General features: G+C 39.8%; 1 protein-coding gene across 12 annotated transcripts in view; it reads left to right on the top strand.

The window, feature by feature from the left end:
• The window catches only part of WDR27 (WD repeat domain 27), a 275,610-nt gene that overhangs the window by 180,133 nt on the left and 73,423 nt on the right, over positions 1–22,054 (top strand). Inside the window, exon 26 of one of the 12 annotated variants that reach the window (XM_011535692.4) lies at positions 18,905–19,007. The exons of the other annotated variants lie outside the window; for them this stretch is intronic. Within the exon in view, the coding sequence (XP_011533994.1) occupies positions 18,905–18,925 (21 nt within the window). The 3' untranslated portion in view covers positions 18,926–19,007. Of the gene's footprint in view, positions 1–18,904; positions 19,008–22,054 lie in introns of those variants that run through there. 12 annotated transcript variants of the gene reach the window in all.

Genomic DNA, 22,054 nt, shown 5'->3' with positions numbered 1-22,054 from the left:
ACCCCTCTCTTCTTTTTTTCTTTCTGTCTTCCTTTGTGTTTAAGTGATTTCCTCTGGTAGTATGTTTTAATTTGTTGCTTTTAATTTTTTGTCACTCTTTTATAGGTTTTTGCATTGTGGTTACTATGAGGCTTACAAAACACATAGATATAATAAGTTATTTTAAATAAATGACAACTTAGATCACAAAGAAAAAATAGAAACAAAGAAAAAAATACTCTACATTTTAAGCTCCATCTATTTTGACTTTTAGTAGTCTCAATTTACATATTTTTTACGTTACCTGTTTCTTAAAAGGCCGCTGTAGCTATTATTGTTTTTGAAATATTTGTCTTTTGGGCTTCATACTATTGTTATGAGTGGACTGAACACCACAATTATAGTAGTAGAGCATTTTGGGTTTGTCTAATGCACTAAATTGTATCAGTGGGTTTAATACCTTGAAATGCTTTCTTCTTGCATGTTAAGTGTTTTTTATTTTTTTCTTTAGATTGAAGACCTTTCTTTAGCATTTCTTATAGACAGGTCTCCTGGTGGTGAATTATCTCAGCTTTTGTTTATCTGGGAAAGACCTTGTCTCTTCTTCATATTCGAAAGATAGCTTTATGGAGACAATATTCTTGGATATAAGTTATTTTTTTTTTCTTTCAGCACTTTGAAAATGTCATCCTACTCACTCCTGGCATGTACAGTTTCCACTGAGAAGTCTGTTGCCAGATGAATCGGATCTCCTTTACATTTTATTTACTTTTCTCTTGCTGCTTTTAGGATTATCTCTCTTTCCTTGAGGTTTAAGAGTTTGATTATTATGTGCCTTTTGGTAGCTTTATTTGAGTGAAATCGGTTTGATGTTCTCTGACCTTCCCTTACCTGGATATTTATCTCTTTCTCAAAGTTTGGCAAGTTTTCTGTTAATATGTCTTTGAATAAGCTTTCTACCTCCTTGTTCTTGTTCAACTTGTTCAACTTGAACACTAATAATTCTTAGATTTTATCTTTTGAGGTAGTTTTCCATGTCTTATAGGCATTCTTCATTGCTTTTCATTTTTTTCCTTTTTTTCTCTTTCTGTATTTCAGGTAACCTGTCTTTGAACTCACTGATTCTTTCCTCTGCTTGATCCATTCTACTGTTGAGAGCCTCTCATGATTTTTTTCAGTTCAGCAAATGTATTTCTCAGTTCCAAGATTTTCTCTTTAATCGCTTTGTTAATTTTTTCTGATAAATTTCTGAATTGCTTTTCTGTGTTACCTTGAAGATCACCAAGTTTCCTTAAAACTGCTACTTTGCATTCTTGGTGAGAGAGTTCACATTATCATCATCTTGTGAGAGTCAGTCACTGGTTCCCAGCTTTGTATGTTTGAGGTAGTCATGGTTCCCTGTTTGCTGTTGTTTCGTGTGCATGTACATCTGTGTCTTTGTATTGAAGTATTATTTATTCCAGTATTCTCTATCTGGTTTGTTTTGATTTTTTATCAGATATGTTTACTAAAAAATTCTTTGTAATTTACTTTTCAATTTTCTTTTTGTTAAAAACAATCTGCTATGTTGCTGCCTCCTTTTTGGCACTAGATGGTGCCTTAAGCTCAGGTTTGCCTCAGTTCTAGTAAATAATCAGAGTACCACTTATCCTGAACAGGAGAAATGCCAAAGGGATATTCCAGCAGTGTGGGAAGCTGGCTATGGGTTCATGCCCTGGGGAGTAATGGAATAAACCTCCTACAGTGTGGTGATGCTGAGCAGCCACTCCGATTTGGTATCTCTTTTTGTCAAGCTACAGAGAAAAATTTCTAGGGTGGGATGGTAGTCCCACTTCCCCCTTTTGTCTCTGGCTCTTCATAGGGATATTTTTCTTTTCGGGCACTCCTGATGCTTCCCAGGGGTTTAGGGAGGGAGAGGTCTCCTGTCAAGTAGTTCAAGATGGTGGGGAAGCTGGTCGTCCACCTCAATCTCACTTTTTTGTGTGTGTAGAAACCATGAGTTGGGGGGAGATTTTCCATGTACTTCATGTCAAGAAGATGGGGGAAAACCATCACAGATGAGGAAGTCCAGTTCTCTCACTGTTGTCTCAGAGTTTTTTCACTTCTCTGTGGCCCCAAGAACTATCTCATCTTCATATTTGAGTTCTGAGATGTTGATGGGGATAATATTGGTGTGTATATTTATTTTTGTTTTTGTTGGTTGGGGGGTGATATAGTTTGGATATTCCCACCACCCAAATCTCATGTTGAAATGTAATCCCCCACATTGGAGGGAGGGCCTGGTGGGAGGTGTGTGGGTCATGAGGGCAGATCTCTCATGGCTTGGTGCTCTCCTTACAATAGTGGGTGAGTTCTTATGAGATCTGGTTGTTTAAGTATATGGCACCTTCCCACCCCCCATTCTCTCTTGTACCTGTTCTGCCACATAATGTGCCAGCTCCTGCTTTGCCTTCTGCCATGAATTAAAGCTCCCTGAGTCCTCCTCAGGAGCCAAGAAAATGATAGTGCCATGCTTCCTGTATATCCTGCAGAATTGTGAGCCAATTAAACCTCTTTTCTTAATAAATTGCCAAGTCTCATGTATTTCTTTTTAGCAATACAAGAATGAACTAACACAGAAAATTGGTACTGAAGAGTGGGATATTGCTGTGAAGATATCTGAAAATGTGGAAGGGACTTTGGAACTGGGTAACAGGCAGAGCTTGGAAGAGTTTGGAGAGCTCAGAAGAAAACAGAAAGATAAGGGAAAATCTGGAACTTCTTAGAGACTGGTTAAATGGTTATGACCAAAATGTTGATAGTGCTATGGACAGTGAAGGCTGATGAAGTCTCAGATGGAAATGAGGAACTTATGGAGAACTGGAGCAAAGGTCACCCTTGTTATGCCCTAGCAAAGAAGTTGGCTGCATTCTGTTTGTGCCCTAGGGACTTGTGGAAATTTGAACTTCAGAGTGACAACCTAGGGTATCTGGTAAAGGAAATTTCTAAGCAACAAAGTGTTCAAGATGTGGCCTGGCTGCTTCTAACAGGCTTTGGTCAGATGCGGGAGCAGAGAAATGACTTAAAGTTGGAATTTGTATTGGAACAAGAAACAGAGCATATAAGTTTGGAAAATTTGCAGCCTGGCCATGTGGCAGAGAAAGAAAAAGCATTTTCAGGGGAGGAATTCAAGCAGGTTGCTGAGCAACCACTTCCTAGAGAAACTTGCATAACTAAAAGACAGCCAAGACAATGGGAAAAAGGCCTCAAAGGCATTTCAGAGATCTAAGAGGCAGCCCCTCCTGTCATAGCCCCAGAAGCCTAGGAGAGAAGAATGATTCCATGGGCTAGGCCCAGAGCCCCACTGCCCTGTGCAGTCTTGGAACAGTGCTGCCTGCATCTAGGCCATTCTAGCTCCAGCCACAGCTCAAAGGACCCCAGGTACAGTTTGTGCTGTCACTTAAGAGGGCACAAGCCATAAGCCTTGGTGGCTTCCATGTGGCATTAAGCCTGTAGGAATGCAGAGTGCAAGAGTGAAGGAGGCTTGGCCTAGATTTCAGAAGATATATGAAAAAGGCTGGATGCCAGGCAGAAGCCTGCTGCAGGGGCAGAGTCCCCATGTAGAACCTCTACTAGGGCAGTTCAGAGGGGAAATTCAGGGTTGCTAGACCCACACAGAGTCCCCAAGAGGGCTCTGCTTAGTGGAGCTGTGGGAATGGGGTGCTGCCCTCTAGACCCCAGAATGGTAGATCACTGGCAGCTTGCACCCTGTGCCTAGAAAAGCTGCAGGTACTCAGTTCTAACCTGTGAGAGCAGCCATTGGGTCTGAAGCCTGCAAACCCATAGGGGCAGAACTTCCCAAGGCCTTGGTCACCCACTTCTTGCAGTAGTGTTCCCAGCATGTGGGACATAAAGGAAAAGATGATTATTTTGGAACTTTAAGATTTAATGACTGCCTTGCTGGGTTTCAAAGTTGCAACAAACTTCAAGTAGGATAAACTCTGTTATCTGTACCTAGACACATCATAAGCAATGTGCCAAAAGACAGAGAGACAATTTTTGAAAGCAGCAAGACATAAGTGGTTTATCACATGCAAGCAATCTTGAACAAGATTATCAGTTGATTTCTCATTAGAAACCATGGTGTCTAAAAGGCAATGAGGTCCAATACTGAAAAATAAAAAGTTCAACCAATCATTCTATATCCAGCAAAATGATCCTTCAAAAATGTAGAAGAAATTAAGGCATTCCAATATAAACAAAAATTAAGAGGGTCCATTGTTGCCAGAACTTCCCTATAACCAATGCCATAGGGAGTCTTTTGAGTTGAATAGAAAATAACTCAAACCCACATGAAGAAAGGTAACTAAATAGGTAAATATAAAAGATAGCATAAATGTATTTTTGTTGTAACTTCTTTTAGTTTTTTAATCTTTTATTATACAGGTGCAAAAAGCAATAACTATAAACAATAGTTATAGACTCTCAGTTCCAAAATGATGATGTGGAAGCAGGCTGGCTTCACTCTGTTCCCCCAGTGGTAGGCTGTTCTTGTGTTGCTATAAAGAAATACCTGAGGCTGGGTAATTTATAAAGAAAAGAGGTTTAATTGGCTCATGGTTCCGCAGGCTTTACAGGAAGCATGGTGCTGGTATCTGCTCAGCTTCTGGGGAGGCCTCAGGGAGCTTTAACTCAGGGATGAAGGTGAAGTAGGAGCAGATGTGTCACATGGCAGAGTTGGAGCAAGAGAAAGAGAGTTGGTGGTGGGGAAGTGCCACACACTTAACCAGATCTCAAGAGCACTCACTCACCATTGCAAAGACAGCATCAAGCCATGAAGGATCCACCCCCATGACCCAAACACCTCCCACCAGGCCCCATCTCCAACATTGGAGATTACATTTCAACATGAAATCCAAACTACATCATTCTACCCCTCCTTCTGCCCAGCCTCAAATCTCAGGTCCTTCTCACATTGCAAAATACAGTCATGACTTCTCAATAGTCCCCCAAAGTCTTACCTCATTTCAGCATTCACTCAGGACAGATGTTTTCCTAAATGCCTGGAACCAACACATCTTTCAGTCTTTGCTAAGGGAGGGGTGTGTGTGTGTGTGTGTGTGTGTGTGTGTGTGTGTGTGTGTGTGTGTTGGAGCATGCCTTTAACTCTCAGCCAGGCAGTTTGCAGTTCTGTCTTACCCATCATTTATTCAGAGAGCCTTCAGAGCCGTCTCAGGTTCTTTGTTAGCATGCCCAGCTCTTGGGGACACACATGACCTTCTAGATTTCCAGGATGTAATAGAACTTTTAAGCCCTATGGACATCTCCCGTCAGCAGTCTTCCCTCTCAAGGTTTTTGGTTTGTACATCGTCTTCCCCAACAGGAAGCAGCAACTAAAACATTCATCTGTAAATGTTTTAGACAAATGTCCCCACCGCCCATTCCCCACCGCAGCAGAATTAGCCCCCCTGGAGGAGTTCTGGAGGAGTTCTGAGTCAGGTGAGAGAAAGACAAGCCTTTTAAGCCAGTCTTCCAGGGAGGCATCAGATAGGTCACAGTAAATTATTAAAGTCTTTGTGAATGAGATCTGTTCTGCTCCATCCAGTACATGGAATGCAGGTACTTATTTTCATGGCTCCTTACCGTTGAGCTAGGGAGTTGAAAATGGAGCTGGAGAAAGTCAAAATGCAGCAAATCTTGTGATCCTTATTTCTTACTACAGCAGATTCAGGATTCAGCTGTTATGTTGAGTAAGGGCTCTTCCAGTTGTTGCAGCCCTTTGGTGAATTTTCAGAGTTCTGAAGAAAGTTGATTCTGACAGTTTTTGACAGTTTTCTTATTGCTTTTATGGAATGGTGAAAGTTGGAATTTCTTATTTTTCTACCGTTCTCCTCTTAGCTATTTTTGTATTTATATTTCCAGATGAATGCTGGAGTTACTTATTCACATTGAAGTTATTGAATGATTGATTACATTCAACTCATAGATCAATTTGCAGTGAATTAAGATCTTTATAATTTGAATATGTCAACTGGGGGCATAATACACTTTTCTGCTTATTTGTGTTTTCTTATGTATCTTTTAAAATTATTAAATATATATAATATATATCCTTCACAAATTTTAAATTTATCCCTTTTATTTTACTGTTACTTTACTTATATTTTAAATGTTTATAATAGTTAAGTATATAATAAAATATATGCTTATTTATATTTATTATATTTGGCTGAAGTTATCCATAAAGTCTATTTTAATCATTACCTTTATCCATTACCTTTTCTAAGAATATTTTGTTGGCACAAAGAAAGGCTTTCAATTACCAAATTATGATTTTACTGAACACTTTTATTCATATACCACTCTTAAGTTTTTAAAATAAGTACTCATGTGTAAATAATGGTAACTTTGACATCTAATTCTGACATTTATGAAATTCATACAAAACAGACATGCATAACCCAATAACTTATAATTGAGCTTTGTCCCAATAAGATCTGTATCCATTTCCCTAAAAGCTATTCAGTATTCATTATTCTAGCTTTTATGATCATTACCGCTTTCATTTTATTTTTAATTTTAAAGGCACACATTCCTAAAGCCTATGTATTCCTGTTTTGAACTTGCTACGAATAGCACACAGTAGAGTTTTATGCTTTGGTCATTGTAAGACTGCCCCGGGTCTCCTTCTCCATTTCTTTTGCTGCACACACGCACACATTTCTGTTGATACACAGTTAGGACAGGACTCGGTGGGTCATAGCTATGTGTATTTTCAGCTTTAGTAAATTAAGGGAGTTTTCCAAAGAAGTTGTACTAATTTAAAGACCCACGACCCATGAATGAGAGTTTGTTTCTCCACATACTTACCAACAATTAGTGTTATCAGTCTTTTAAATTTAATTTTAGTCTTTCTTATGTGCATATATTAGTATTAAATGCAAGTGGTGAGATCTTGTTTCCAATCTCGTAGGGAAAGCTCTCAACATTTCACCACTAAGTTTGATGTTTGCTGTAGATTTATTTTTAAAATAAAATAAAAAGTAATTATTATTTTTGTAATTACTATTTGTCAAATAAAAAATTTCCTTTTATTCCTTGTTTGCTAAGAATGTATGCTAAATTTTAACACATGCTATTTCTGAAGCTATTGAAATGATCATATATATATATATATATATTCTCTTTTTTTCTGTTATAGTAAGAACGATTAGAATGATGTCTTTAACAATGTTAAGCCAACCTTTTATTCCTAGAATAAATCCAACTTGCTCTTAGTGTATTAACCTTTTAAAATATTGAGGGATTTGTTTGATCATTTTTTATTAAAAAATTAATGTTTATTATTGACCTAGACATATATTTTAATATCTATATTTTATATATATATTTTTCCCCCAAATATATAAATATATATATAGTTGGGGAAAAAATACATATTATATATATACATATATATTTGTATGTGTATATACACATTTTTTTGGTATATTAACAATAGTTTATTACATTTCCAAGACATCTGGGTATAAAATTTCTACATTTGATAAGAAAACACTATAATTTTGCAAATTATAAGCTATTATAATTTGAAGGGCAATCTAAAAAATATATTTTGTCAGTTTGACTTCTCTTTTCTATTTGAAAGGAAATAATTTATAATAATTTATGTATACTGGTTATAGCTATTTGTTCTATTATTTGAACTAAAATCCTTTGTTTGAAAAAAGATGTAAACTACCATATCTATATATGTATATGTGTATGTATATAAGAATAATATATATATTCTTACAATAGTCTTGTTAGTTTTTTGTTGTGGAGGTGTGGTTTTTATTGTTTCCTCTCTTCATCCATCCTGAAATAACGTGAACCTTATCCAGACTTGGAATCAGTCAGCAATCAATGTAGATTGCCAGCTGCTATTCCCTTTTGCTCTAATTGTATGTCCCGCAGTTCTGAGATAAGAGCTAAAGCCCACTGTGCAATGCCATGTCTTTCAGTGGCTCTGTTCTACAGAAGTGCTGCTTTTTCCTCCTGTACTGTCTAGAGCTTTAATGCTGTGAGTAATGACAGCAGAGACATTTTCTCTTTAGGGCTGTGCCCATGTCTATTGGCACAGGGATTGGCAGAGGTAGACAGTCTATGTTAAACAAGTGAATGACTGACCACAGTTTCCAGCACATGTTGCTGTTTATAAGTAATTACTTATAAATAAACACATTGTTTATAAGTAATTACTTATAAATAAACACATTGTTTATAAGTAATTACTTATAAATAAACACATTGTTTATAAGTAATTACTGCATAGAATGTTCTGTTCCGAGACTCTCCTACTTAGTGCCTGGTTGTTTTCTGGAAGTTACTGCCTTTGAATCCATGTAAATGTGTCAACATGGATAAATGAGACCTACTTCAGTTTATACAACTCCCCAAAATTTTGAATTAGGGAATGAACACTGGGGCTCTGAATCTAGAATTTTGAAACATGGCTGCAAATCCTTCAACACTTCTTTCCTCGAGAGGTGGGCATCTGTGTTCCCTCCCCTTAAGCCTGGGCGTCCCGGGACCACTCTGACCAATTGTGCATGGCAGGAAGGAGGCTGTACAATTTCCAGGGCCAAGCCATAGAAACAGATACAGCTTCTAGTAATACTTTGTTTGCCAGAACATTCTCTCTTGGAAACTGAGCTGCACTGTGAGGGGCCCACCTCACTGAGGCCACCATGCTGGAGACTGTCTAGGTGCCCCCAGAAATTCCTGCTGAGCCCGCCCCCAACCAAGCACCACAGGGTGACTGCTGTCAGCACAACACGAAACAGAAGACTCACCCACAAAACAGTGAAATATCAGAAAATGGTTATTATTTTAAACCACTAAGTTTGAGAGTAGTTTATGGTGCAACAATAAGTAACTGGAACGTTTAGAAAAAAATTTTTTAATGTATTCTTTATTTCGTGAAAGTATATTTTCTTAAGCAGTGTCCGTCTCCTTTAGAGTTGGTGGTGATCTCATACATGTTTTGGCATCACTGTTCTATTAGCCTTAGTTTTCTATGTGTTTTCTATCTTCACAGATTTTCTTTTAACATGAAAACACTGCTTCAGAACTACTAGCCATGAACTATTTTTTCACATTCTTTCTTGAAACGTCAAACATGACTTTCTTTTAATACAAAATCAAAGGTGATTCAAGCCATTACCTCTACTATCTAAAGAGGTAAAACTAGACAAAGTTTCTATTGCATTCTAATGTTAAAATGTTCACATTTGCAGCATTTAAACAGCCTTTAAATAACATCATTAAAATCTAGCTTATGTGTGGTTTAGAAAGCCAGTAGGATTGACTTATGATCTCTCAGTAGCTCTTACTAAACATTTTCTTGCTTTGCTAATCTTAGACTCCTCTAGAGTAAAGTAGCTAAATGAATTAACATTACAAATTAAAGTTCCCATTGGGCTTATCGTTGTATTTCTATTTTGTAGGCTTGATTTAAAATTTAATTTAATTTTTGGTCATTCTAGGATAAAGAACCCTTTAAAAATTGTAAGTTAAATTTTATTTAGGAATCAACTTAAATTACACTTAGACATAAAGTTGAAATGACATTTCATTATTTCAAATCAAAGTATTGGATTTTTGAAAAGTAAAAAAGCTCTTCTTTGGTATATTAACAATAGTTTATTACATTTCCAAGACATCTAGGTATAAAATTTCTAGACTTGGTAAGAAAACACTATAAAATTATAATTTTGCAAATTACAAGCTATTACAATTTGTAGGGCAATCTAAAAAATATATTTTGTCAGTTTGACTTCTCTTTTCTATTTGAAAGGAAATAATTTATAATAATTTATGTATACTGGTTATAGCTATTTGTTCTATTATTTGAACTAAAATCCTTTGTTTGAAAAAAGATGTACACTGCCATCTGCAGATACATGAGTGTGACAGCCTGTATTTGGATGAAAGTCCTTACTGAGACCCTTGCTTCCCCAATCATTACATTTTATAAAGACTCCACTTTCCTTTTAGGAAAGCAGTAAACCAATGGCCATGGATTTTATTGTTTAAAGATTATAAAACAGTAAATTATCCATTCACCCATCTATCCATCAATTTTTTATGAATGATAAAACCATATAAAATGATGGCAGATATGAATAGTAGCTGAAGATATTAAGTATAATTTGGGTACTCAGATATTATCTAGAGCAAGAGTTGGCAAATATTTTTTTTTTGTAAAAGGCCAAATAGTAAATATTTTAGGCTTTGTGGATCAGGAAGGAAAACTGAGGATATTATGTATGTACTTAGAGAATAAGAAAGAACACAAGTTTATGCAGTCTTTTCATAGGCAACATTGAAAATATACTAATAAAAACTGAGTGTAATTTTCTTATAATACAGATCTATGATTAAGAGAATGAAATTATATTTTGGGGGGAAGGCAACACTTTATTTGGGGTTCAAAGTTAGCATTCCCTAACATCAAAATTAATTGCAAATATTAATCTGTTAGTGCTGATCTGTAATGAAATTTCACATATTTCATGTTTGAAAACGTCTCTTCACACAAATAGGTACTGCCAAACATACAAATCCATAAGTATTTGATTTTAATGGAACATATTTATTGTTTGATAAACATTCAGAGAATGGTATTAGATTTTACACTTGATATTTGCCTGTTAAGATCTTATTACATTGCAGAATAATCACTTTCAATGGAAGGTTACACAAAGGCTCCTCAAAGGCAGCTAAATGGATTTTGAAATGTGGAAATTGCCTTTGTTTTTGTATCAAAGTCTGAAACACACTACTGGAACTGGAACTGTGGCTTGAGATTGAGAAATGTTTCTGCTTTAATTGTGTGTGGGAATGGCTACCTTGCTGCTTCTTGTAACTTTTGACAGGATGAGCAATGTATAAAGCTGCTGATGTTGCTTGTGATTCAAACGTTAGTTGTCACCAAAATTAGTTTACCTCAGGAAAAGTTTTGCATATATATTTTTTTTGCCTTGTAATCTTAGGTTGAATTCACTAAGAAATAGTATCAAGCAATTCCATTGTCATTTAGAGTTTGATAAAAATGGAGGAAGAAATTGTTCTCATTCAGAAAACTTTGTCTTTTTTTTGTCTTTTTTTATTATTATTATACTTTAAGTTTTAGGATACATGTGCACAACGTGCAGGTTTGTTACATATGTATACATGTGCCATGTTGGTGTGCTGCACCCATTAACTCGTCATTTAGCATTAGGTATATCTCCTAATGCTATCCTTCCCCCCTCCCCCCACCCCACAACAGTCCCCAGTGTGTGATATTCCCCTTCCTGTGTCCATGTGTTCTCATTGTTCAATTCCCACCTATGGGTGAGAACATGCGGTGTTTGGTTTTTTGTCCTTGCGATAGTTTGCTGAGAATGATGGTTCCCAGCTTCATCCATGTCCCTACAAAGGACATGAACTCATCATTTTTTATGGCTGCATAGTATTCCATGGTGTATATGTGCCACATTTTCTTAATCCAGTCTATCATTGTTGGATATTTGGGTTGGTTCCAAGTCTTTGCTATTGTGAATAGTGCCACAATAAACATACGTGTGCATGTGTCTTTAGAGCAGCATGATTTAGAATCCTTTGGGTATATACCCAGTAATGGGATGGCTGAGTCAAATGGTATTTCTAGTTCTAGATCCCTGAGGAATTGCCACGCCAACTTCCACAATGGTTGAACTAGTTTACAGTCCCACCAACAGTGTAAAAGTGTTCCTATTTCTCCACATCCTCTCCAGCACCTGTTGTTTCCTGACTTTTTAATGATCGCCATTCTAACTGGTGTGAGGTGGTATCTCATTGTGGTTTCGATTTGCATTTCTCTGATGGCCAGTGATGATGAGCATTTTTTCATGTGTTTTTTGGCTGCATAAATGTCTTCTTTTGAAAAGTATCTGTTCATATCCTTTGCCCACTTTTTGATGGGGTTGTTTGTTTCTTTCTTGTAAATTTGTTTGAGTTCATTGTAGATTCTGGATATAAGCTCTTTGTCAGATGAGTAGGTTGCAAAAATTTTCTCCCATTCTGTAGGTTGCCTGTTCACTGTGATGGTGGTTTCTTTTGCTGTGCAGAAGCTCTTTAGTTTAATTAGATCCCATTTGTCAATTTTGGCTTTTGTTGCCACTGCTTTTGGTGTTTTAGACATGAAGTCCTTGCCCATGCCTATGTCCTGAATGGTATTGCCTAGGTTTTCTTCTAGGGTTTTTATGGTTTTAGGTCTAACATGTAAGTCTTTAATCCATCTTGAATTAATTTTTGTATAAGGTGTAAGGAAGGGATCCAGTTTCAGCTTTCTACATATGGCTAGCCAGTTTTCCCAGCACCATTTATTAAATAGGGAATCCTTTCCCCATTGCTTGTTTTTGTCAGGTTTGTCAAAGATCAGATAGTTGTAGATATGCGGCATTATTTCTGAGGGCTCTGTTCTGTTCCATTGGTCTATATCTCTGTTTTCGTACCAGTACCATGCTGTTTTGGTTACTGTAGCCTTGTAGTATAGTTTGAAGTCAGGTAGCGTGATGCCTTCAGCTTTGTTCTTTTGGCTTAGGATTGACTTGGCAATGCGGGCTCTTTTTTGGTTCCATATGAACTTTAAAATAGTTTTTTCCAATTCTGTGAAGAAAGTCATTGGTAGCTTGATGGGGATGGCATTGAATCTATAAATTACGTTGGGCAGTGTGGCCATTTTCACGATATTGGTTCTTCCTACCCGTGAGCATGGAATGTTCTTCCATTTGTTTGTATCCTCTTTTATTTCATTGAGCAGTGGTTTGTAGTTCTCCTTGAAGAAGTCCTTCACATCCCTTATAAGTTGGATTCCTAGGTATTTTATTCTCATTGAAGCAATTGTGAATGGGAGTTCACTCATGATTTGGAAAATTTTGTCTTCATCCTGAGCTCAACAACAACGATAAAACCTGACTGCTATGGAGCCATGTGGCTGCTGTGTGGAGGGCAGCTCAGGACATGTAGCTTCCGTTTCTGACAAAACTTTAAGGATGAAAGTTAAATATACCAGAGTGAATAAAGTCCATCATTTATGCTACTGGTTTAATAACGTGATAGATTCAAATATTTTCTACAAAGTATCTACTGATAATATAATACATAATTATAAGTTTTAAACACTTTACATTTCCACAAGTGTTGTAAAGTTGTTTAAGCCTTTTCTCCTCATATTTCTTGATGTGTTTTACCACCTGCAGTTGTAACACATCTTAGCAGATTCCACTTCAGATTGTACTGAATCTTTGTCTTCCCAAATCCTTTCAGAATATTCTTGTGTGCAATTGTTCCATGCAGACAATTCATAGAGACTAATTTTCAGTCACTTTAGACTATTCACTCTTAAACAACAACTAAGTAGTACAGTAACATTTGTTGAGTCATTGAGTGAAAAAAAAAGAAATTAAAAATAATTTGCCCTCAACTCTTGAACATCTCTTCTAGCCAAAAACCTAACAGTCTCAGATGAGCTTATTTGCTCTGATGCATTTCTCTGGCTGCTGCAATCAACCATGATTTAATCAACTAATAATTGGTGTATGGCTTTCCTCATTTGGCTAACAAGCCATTCAGAAAGTTACTTTGCTTGTAGCTTGATTTTAATGTATTTTTATTTTTTGAATAAATTCTCTGTGTTGAGATGTTCTGTTTTAAGTTTTTTTGTTTTTCTGATCACTGCTGTCCTGTGAGTTGGGCCGATTTTATGTGAGCCTGGTCTGGTCATATAGATGCTTCTGGAGTCCTTTCAGCTCCACTGGAGTGCACAGCATATGAAACACAATGCTCTGCCATTCATCTGTATAAAAATAATCCACACTCTGCTGTGCCCTAAAAGCATGGCAGTTGAGGTCCACTTTTCTCTTCGTGTTTTGACATGATGGGTATACTATGAAGATTTAAAATAAACCATTCATAGTACAGAAGTACATGCAGCAGTTGGAAGGTCAGTTTATAAGGGCATTGCTGTGACCTGTAGAGTGGCTAGCACAGTTGTGAAGCTGTGAGAGTGCCACATGTGGTCTCCATCACAGCCACTCCACTTCACCATGTGTCAAGAAAGCCACAGACAATATGTACTCAAGAGGATGTGTCTGTGTACCAATAAAACTTTATTTATGAACATTGAAAAATATTCTTTAGTGTTTTCAACCATTTCAAAATATAAACATTATTCTTATCTACTGGATATGCAGAAACAGGCAATGAGCAGGTCTGTTTCATGAGCCATAGTTTGCTGAAAACTTTCCTGAAAGTTACAGGGAAGGCTGGTGGGGTTTGCTATTAGCAGACAAGAAGCGTAGAATTTCTGTCCTGGGTGAGGGATCTAGGAGCTCCAACCTGTCAACCATGCTTCTGGCTGATATGCTCCAGGTTACAATATGTCTTCACTCAGTTGAAAGGATGAAAGCTCTCAGTGAGCCCCGTCAAGATGGAGTAGTGTCATGGGTAGTTACACTGAGAACATCTATGAAGCAGAGCGTGCCCAGCCGTGTGCCCAGAACCACTGTGGGTGTGTACCTGCAAGTGAATTGATGTTCCTTCCCCAGTCAAAACAATCTTACACACGTGCTGCTTCTTTCTTTCCCCACCTCAAACTCCTTTCAATAAGTCAGGTCAAAAAGGACAGGAAAGGGGGAAAAAAGGCAGCTTATAGATGCCACATGTCCACATTTGTGCTTACCTTATTCTCAACCAAACTTGTTAGGAAACAAAGTTGGAAACACAAAGTAGAATTTGGAAAATCAAATCTGAAATGGAAAGAATAGTGTTTTTTAGGACTCAAAATATTTTATTTCTAAAACATTACACAATTGAAAGTAATGTTTAATCAGATTTCATTTTATGCCATTAGAATGTCAAGTGTTGTTTGGATTAAATTCTAATCCTTATATAGATGCATCTAAATGCAGTTAATATGCTACATAATAAGGTAGTTTAAAGTCCATATCATTTAGCATTTAATAAAGGTACACATTCAGTTATACCAAATTAATGAATGGATTCCTAATCAAAGCAGAAGAACACATATGGAAGTTGTCCAACAACCAAGCCACATGTGGAAATATCTGTTTCTCTGTTGATGTGTCCCAAGTTATAACTAACACATCTCTGGTCCATGTTATTCTTGTTCACCTTTGATTGCAGTACAATCTATTTTTCCAAAGTACTATATATTTACTGCAAAGGACACACAGTTTTTGAGGATATAAATGTAGGTGTACAGCTAATCTGTAATGACCATGTTTTTACCCTACTCATGTGCTTCTGTGAATTTGTTGCCGTCTATGGCTTTCTTTCATTCTTGGAATCACCATGTTTCTCTCCTTACTCAATCAAACTTGCTCTTAATTGGGCACAATGTTTTTGTTTCACTGGACTTCCAGACAGTCATTACTAAGGAGGCAAAATTTAGAAATTATAAATCCAGACATTTGAGAAAGTTACTCCATTAAGATTAGCACCAACAACACCCTTGATTTTTTTAATCACTTACCTCAAGTTCTGTCAGCATGTAACAGATTAAAATTTACAGTTGCTCAACATTTGTTAGGTAAGACAGAGTATCTTAATGGCATACGGATTATAATGTATCCTGACCAGTGTCTCCCTGGAAATCTCAAATGAATGTGATGTTTATGCCAATTTTCTCCCATCAAAAGGAAAACAAAAGTAAAATGAAAAATAGGGAAAATTAGTGCTTGGAAATTCTTCAGAGCTTCTAAAGTTGCAGTGTTTAATTTTTAGCTCAGATGAAATACTGCACAATTGTAAATAAATTACAATTCCATTGAAAACAAAGGAAAATGTACAAAAGCAAATGTCTGCTGTAGAGTTAACTTCTGGGAGCTTTGTTTATGAGTTTAAAAGTTTAGGGGGTTTAGGTGGTATATGTGTTTCTGATGATGACACTGACTGAAGTGGTGCATGTGGGCAGCGTGCAGTGTGTCCGAAGTGTGGCCCCCTGGCTAGCAGCTTCAGCATCACTGTGATGTGTTAGACAAGCAGATTCTCAGGTCCCCTGCCCAGTCCTAATGAATCAAAAATCTGGGAGGGTCCAGCACTCAGCATTTTAATAAGCCTTCCAGATGACTGTGATCACACAAAATTTGTGAGACACTGGCATGGCATGATGGTGAAGGGAACTGGATCTGCCAGCACTTCTTAAACTTCAGTGTGCCTTCTACGCAGTTGAGGATTGTTTGCTGCTGCAGATTCTAATCCATTAGGTCTGGGGTGAGCTGGAGACTCACATGTGATGGCAATTGTTTCTGGTCTGAGGACTATTCTTGGAGTATAGGAATGCTATCAGTCTGCTTGGGCTTGGTTCTCCATTCTACCAGTAAGTTAGATAACCTAGGACAAATTTCTCAAATTATGAGTCCCTGTTTCCCTAAGTATAGAGAAGGAATAACAAATGTACCTTATGATGGTGCTTTGAGGCTTAAATGAAATGGTGCATGTGCCTATCTGTGATAAGAGATAAATGAATATGAGCTTTTATTATTATTGCCCTCATAGGTTAAGATTGATGGCTTAATGTAAGTGTTAACTGATGCATTAGAAAAATCACTCATAACATTAACTCCCCCTGCTGCCCCATGAATAGAACTAGATCTTGATAATTAGCAAGTGATTTCTGATTGGAGCTTACTAAGTTCTTAAGAATATTTACAATAACTTAATGAGCAGTATTCAAGTTGATAGGATTTTATATGATCTACATTCATCTCCAAAGGAAAATTTACTTAGGTGTAGCATTTTTCATATAGAATACTGCATATCACTTATTAATTCACAGATATAATTGTAGCCAAGTAATAATATTGTCTTTCTTGCTAGATTTCATGTAAGGATCTCTGGCAAAGTATGCAAGATGAAGTAAAACATACAGTTTTCACTTGTTTTTTAGAAGCCCTATTGTCTACAATAGATTTTCCACAAAAGTCTTCAAAGAATATAAAGTAGGTAACAGGCCAGGTGTAGTAGATCATACCTGTAATCACAGCACCTTGGGAGGCTGAGGTGGCAGAATTGCTTGAGGCCAGGAGTTCGAGACCAGCCTGGGCAACATAGCAAGACCTAAAAATTAGCCACATGTGGTGGTGCATGCCTGTTGTCCCAGCTACTCAGGAGGCTTTTTCCCAAGCGAGGCAGGATCGCTTGAGCCTGGGAGATTGAAGCTGCAGTGAGCCAAGCTCACGCCACTGCACTCCAGCCTGGGCAACAGAGTGAGACCCTGTCTCAAAAAAAAATCTTTTTTTAAAGTGAGTATATTAGTCTGTTCTCATGCTGCTAATAAAGACATACCTGAGACTGGGTAATTTATAAAGGAAAGAGGTTTAATTGACTCACAGTTCCACATGGCTGGGGAGCCTCACAATCATGGTGGAAGGTGAATGAAGGGCAAAGTCACATCTTACATGGTGGCAGCCATTTATAAAACCATCAGATCTTGAGAGACTTAATCACTATCACAAGAAAAGTATGAAGGAAACCGCCCCCATGATTCAGTTATCTCCACCTGGTCCTACCCTTGACACATGGACTCTTACAATTCAAGGTGAGATTTGGGTGGGGACACAGATCCAAACCATATCAGTGAGTAACATGATACATTCATCTAACACAGAAGTCTACTATGTATCTTAACATTTTATTATGAAAATATTCTGATATACAGAGAAATTGAAACAGTTTGTAGTGAACAGTTGAATTCCTACTAGTATATTCTACTGATAATATTTTACCACATTTGTTTTATCACATAACTACACACTGTTCATCTATCTTTTTATCTATCCACTCATTAATGTCCGATTTTTTATGAATTGTAAAGTAAATTTTACACATCAGTACACTCCTCCCATACTTTGATATGTAGCATACTTTTAGCTTGGCCTTTTGCTCCTAATTTAAACCAGAATGTTGTCTCACTTATTAGCATGACTTCCTTTTCAGGGATGGAAGTTCAGCACACCACACCAGGGACATAATGAAGAATGGACTGCTTAGCTTTTACTCCTGTGTTTTTTGGCTGAAATCTTATGGAAGTGGCATGCTAGATTGATATAGGTTCAAAATAATGAGAAAAGGATGTATTAATGACTAGAAATTGAAAATGCATTCTTCTACTTTCTGTGGCTGTGGGAATACCGGGCAGGCCCAGGAAATTACAGCAGAAATCAGAAATGCCAGGAAGCCACATGTACTGAAAAGTTCCCAAAACATGTAGCTAACACATTTAAGTTTTTATATGTTTTGTCAAACTCTCTCATCTTCTTTCCAAAAAAAGGAGCATCTAATGAACCAGTAGATGACAGGCTGTAGTGTCTGGGGACGGCTCTTGGAAGCCTAGAAAGAGAATCCTGTTCCCTGAACTCCTTCACTCTTATTTCTTCCCAGAAATGTTTACACATTGTACGGGTGAGGGATAGGTCATCTGTTGTTAAATTAGCAAAGGCCATCTCACTGACTGGAGTATCAATACATTTATAATTGTCTTCAACTTTGGACCTACGATTACATACCCTTGATACAACATTCTCTTATGTTGTATGAAGTTCCATCATGGCTGCACAGTCTCCAAAGTTTTCCTCCCAGTTGTCTGTGACCCTGTCATGTTAATTAGCGTCAGAAGCTGTTACAGGTTGCTTGAACTCAGGCTTGTCCTCTGAAGGCCTGAGCATTCTCAGCTGGGCCTCCTGATGTTTTCACCCCAGGCCCTGCCTCTTTCTCGTCACTCTGCTCACAGCATGGCAGAGGGTGTCTTGCTTGAGGACACAGCCAGAGACAAACCTCCCAGATGTCTTGTGGTCCATGTACTCCGCAGAGTCTCATGAAATGTGATGGTCACCTCATCTTCCTCTATTTTGACTAGGTAGACATTTCATGGAATTAGCTGCCAGTACTTTCATGGACCTGTCAAAAGTGTTTGGGGGAAGCCTATAGAAGAAGTGGTTCAAGACCCTCCTCAGCAAATCCATCTACTCGAATCTTGGCTTCCCCTCAAGAATGGGTCAGTGTCTGTGGTGAGGAAAACCGTGGTCCTGGAAATGGCCAAGTCCTAACCCCTGGAACGTGGGAAATGCAAGGTTGAAGATGGCACTGAGGCTGCGATCGGCTGACCTGGAGATGAGGAGAGCACCCCGGGTGACCCAGGGCCCCAGTGCGATCACGAGGGAGCTTAAGAGGGAGGCAGAGGGAGCGCCGGGGAGTGAGACGAGACGCTTCCGCCTCCGAAGGATGAGAAGGGGCCACAGCCCCGGATCGGGGTCGGCCGGGAAGCTGGGAAAGACACGGAAATGGATTTTCTCCTGAAGCCTCCAGAGGGAACCAGCCCTTTGCTACTTGATCTTAGCCCAGTGCGGCCCATTCGGGACTTACGACCTACAGACCCGGAAGAATAAACTGGTGTTGTTTTAAGCCACTAAGTTTAAGGAAATTTTTATGGCAGCAACAAAAAAACTACAGTGTAAGCCCTGGACCCTCAAGTAGGAGGCCTGCGACAGGGACCGTCCGTGTACGGAACGCCACATCGCCCTTCAGCTTCCGGGGGAATCTTTCAGAGGGACGCACATCCCCAGCACGTGAGTCCGGCCTGTCCAGGTGCCTGGGTGTCTCCCGCGGCCGCGCTCTTCAGAGGCCGCGGTCGTCCCGCCAGAGCGTCAGGCGTGCGGCTTCCTCTCCCTGCATGGGGGCCTGCTGCTCTCCTGCCCTCCCTCATCTCCTCACCAGATCTACTCCCTCATTAATGGCTTCCCAGCATCCCGCAGCCCCGGGGCGGCTGCCCTAGCCTGGGGGGAGGTGGTGCGTGCGGCTCCGTTCAGGGCATTGGATGCCCCAGGCATGGCCACCGGCTCCGTGTCACACTGGAGCGATCCGGCCCAGTCCTTGGCTGTGATCTTAGGGGAGAGTCTGAAGCTGTTCAGCCTACTTAGTGTGAGTGGAAAGATCTGGAATAGCTGGATTCAGACCTAAGCATGTAGGGAGGTCTTGCTTCATTGACGAAGTCCTGTGTTAGCACCTCCTCGACCAGCTTGAGGGAGGGGCGCGCCCGTCTCCACCAGGCAGGGCAGTCGCGGGCTTCGCTAGGTTACTGAGCAGACAACCGCAAACTCCTGCTTTAACCAGACCATGTGCATCCTCGGTATTAAAGAAAAGGGTCGGGAAGATAAGGAGTCAACCAAGACCCCAGTCACAACAGATTCACCGAATGAGAACATGCAGGCGAGTCCTACAGTTCGTGGGAAAGTGCTGCTTCCTCATACATCTTTATGCATTTTAGCTACTGCTGGTTCAAAAGTTCACTGCATCTTTTCCTGCGGGCTAGATAGATTCATTTTTGTTAAATATCTTTTGTTTCTGGCTTTGTGGGATAAATTATTTTATTCATCTTCGTACAACACCAGGCACATAGAAGGAGCCTAGTTCTCTCTGTGAGGTTGGGAGCAGGCACATCTGCGGGCTACTGCCTTAAAGCCGCGTGACTCCCTCGGTGGCTTAGAACAGCCACCCTCTGTCCTCACAGACACATGGGTGAGTGTGTCTGGCTCTGGCCCAGCTTCTCCTGCTGGACCTGCAGGCCGTCTGGACACTGGCTGGTCTGGGCTCCCTGCCGGGCCACTCTGCTTCAATCCGCAGGTGGATCGGGTTCGTCTCATCTCCAGCCCACTTGGGAAACTTGCAGTGATTTCAGCTCCTGCTGGATCAAAGTGGGTGAAAAGAATGCCCAGCCGCCAAATCCCACACACCTGTTTGCCAAATGGCAGGAGTGACAGTGTCTTCTCCCTCTCTACTGCCTTCAGATCTCACACGGAGGCTTCTCCTGCTGGTTCCTGTACTGGAGCCTTGGTGGCAAGGAGTTCGAAAACGTAGAGAATCCCGGCCTCTGACCTGTGACGGGGGAGAGCAGAGAGGACAACGGGGCATTTCTGGTGTCCACATCTAGGGAGCATAAGCATGCCTGGTCGTGCAAGTGTCCTGCCCTGCACGGGGCCCTGGGCTAGCGCAGCTCGCGTGGCTGTTTGGAGCTGTGCAGAGGCTGCTTAGGTTTCCAGTCAAAGTCAGCAGATTTCCGAGCCCCTCAGTGAGTAGAAGAATAGCACTAACTGTGTCACTGCGGTCTCCACCATGTCGTGTGCCTTCTCCTTGAGGTGAGAACAGTGATGTGCAGCGACTGCTTCCACTTTGAAGGAGAGATCCCTAGCACTGGGCAGCCATACCTCCCGGAGGGCAGGTCCTGGGTACTCATTGCCCCTCCTCCACCCTGCAGCACTCACGCGCACTACCTGCCACTTCTGCTCCGCAGGCCCTCTCTGCGTGATGCCTTCTCGGTCGTAGACCAGCGGGAGGTTTCTTAGGTCCCAGCTCAGAAGTTAGTGTGGCCCTGAGGTGAGAAGATGAAGATGGGTGACTCTCCTTGATAAGAGAAAACAGATAGCTCCTGGATTTTCAGCAGCTACTAAGCATTAGTTCAGCAGCAGCTAAGCATTTGTGAGACAGTAATGGATAACCTGAGGCCAGGGGCTGCCCTGGCTTGTTAGTACAGACCTCATTTGGAATAGCAAGCTCAATTTTAGTCAACATGTTGCTATAAAACGCACCATCATTTTCCAAGCGGCCTGTATTCCACATAGGCCAAACTGGTGAGCTAAATCAGGATAAAAGGAAATAAAAACTCAATATTTTCCAAGTCTTTGATTGTGGTGCTAATCTCTGCAATTCCCTCATGGATGTGATATTGCTTTTGGCTTAAAGTTTTATACTGAGTAGCGCTCCACGTTTCCTTTCCTAGGACAATAGCCCGCATTTTGCAGAGCAGGGAGCCAGTGTGGGAGCCTGCCAGTTGCTGAGTACGGCCATCTAAGTATGCACCCAGCAGCTGGGGGAAGGAACCGTGGGCATTCACAGAGCCCTCAGGTCCCCCGGACAGACTTCAGCCCTTTACCAATCTCCTATGGCTGTGCACAGGGACTGCACGATTGAACATGCATGGGTTCTGCAGCTTCCATGGTCAGTGGGCTGCTCC

The sequence above is a fragment of the Homo sapiens genome, chromosome 6, assembly GCF_000001405.40.
Source record: "Homo sapiens chromosome 6, GRCh38.p14 Primary Assembly".
Lineage (NCBI taxonomy): Eukaryota > Metazoa > Chordata > Mammalia > Primates > Hominidae > Homo > Homo sapiens.
The sequence above is the reverse complement of the archived record's forward strand: the minus strand, read 5'-3'. Positions and strand labels throughout refer to the sequence as shown.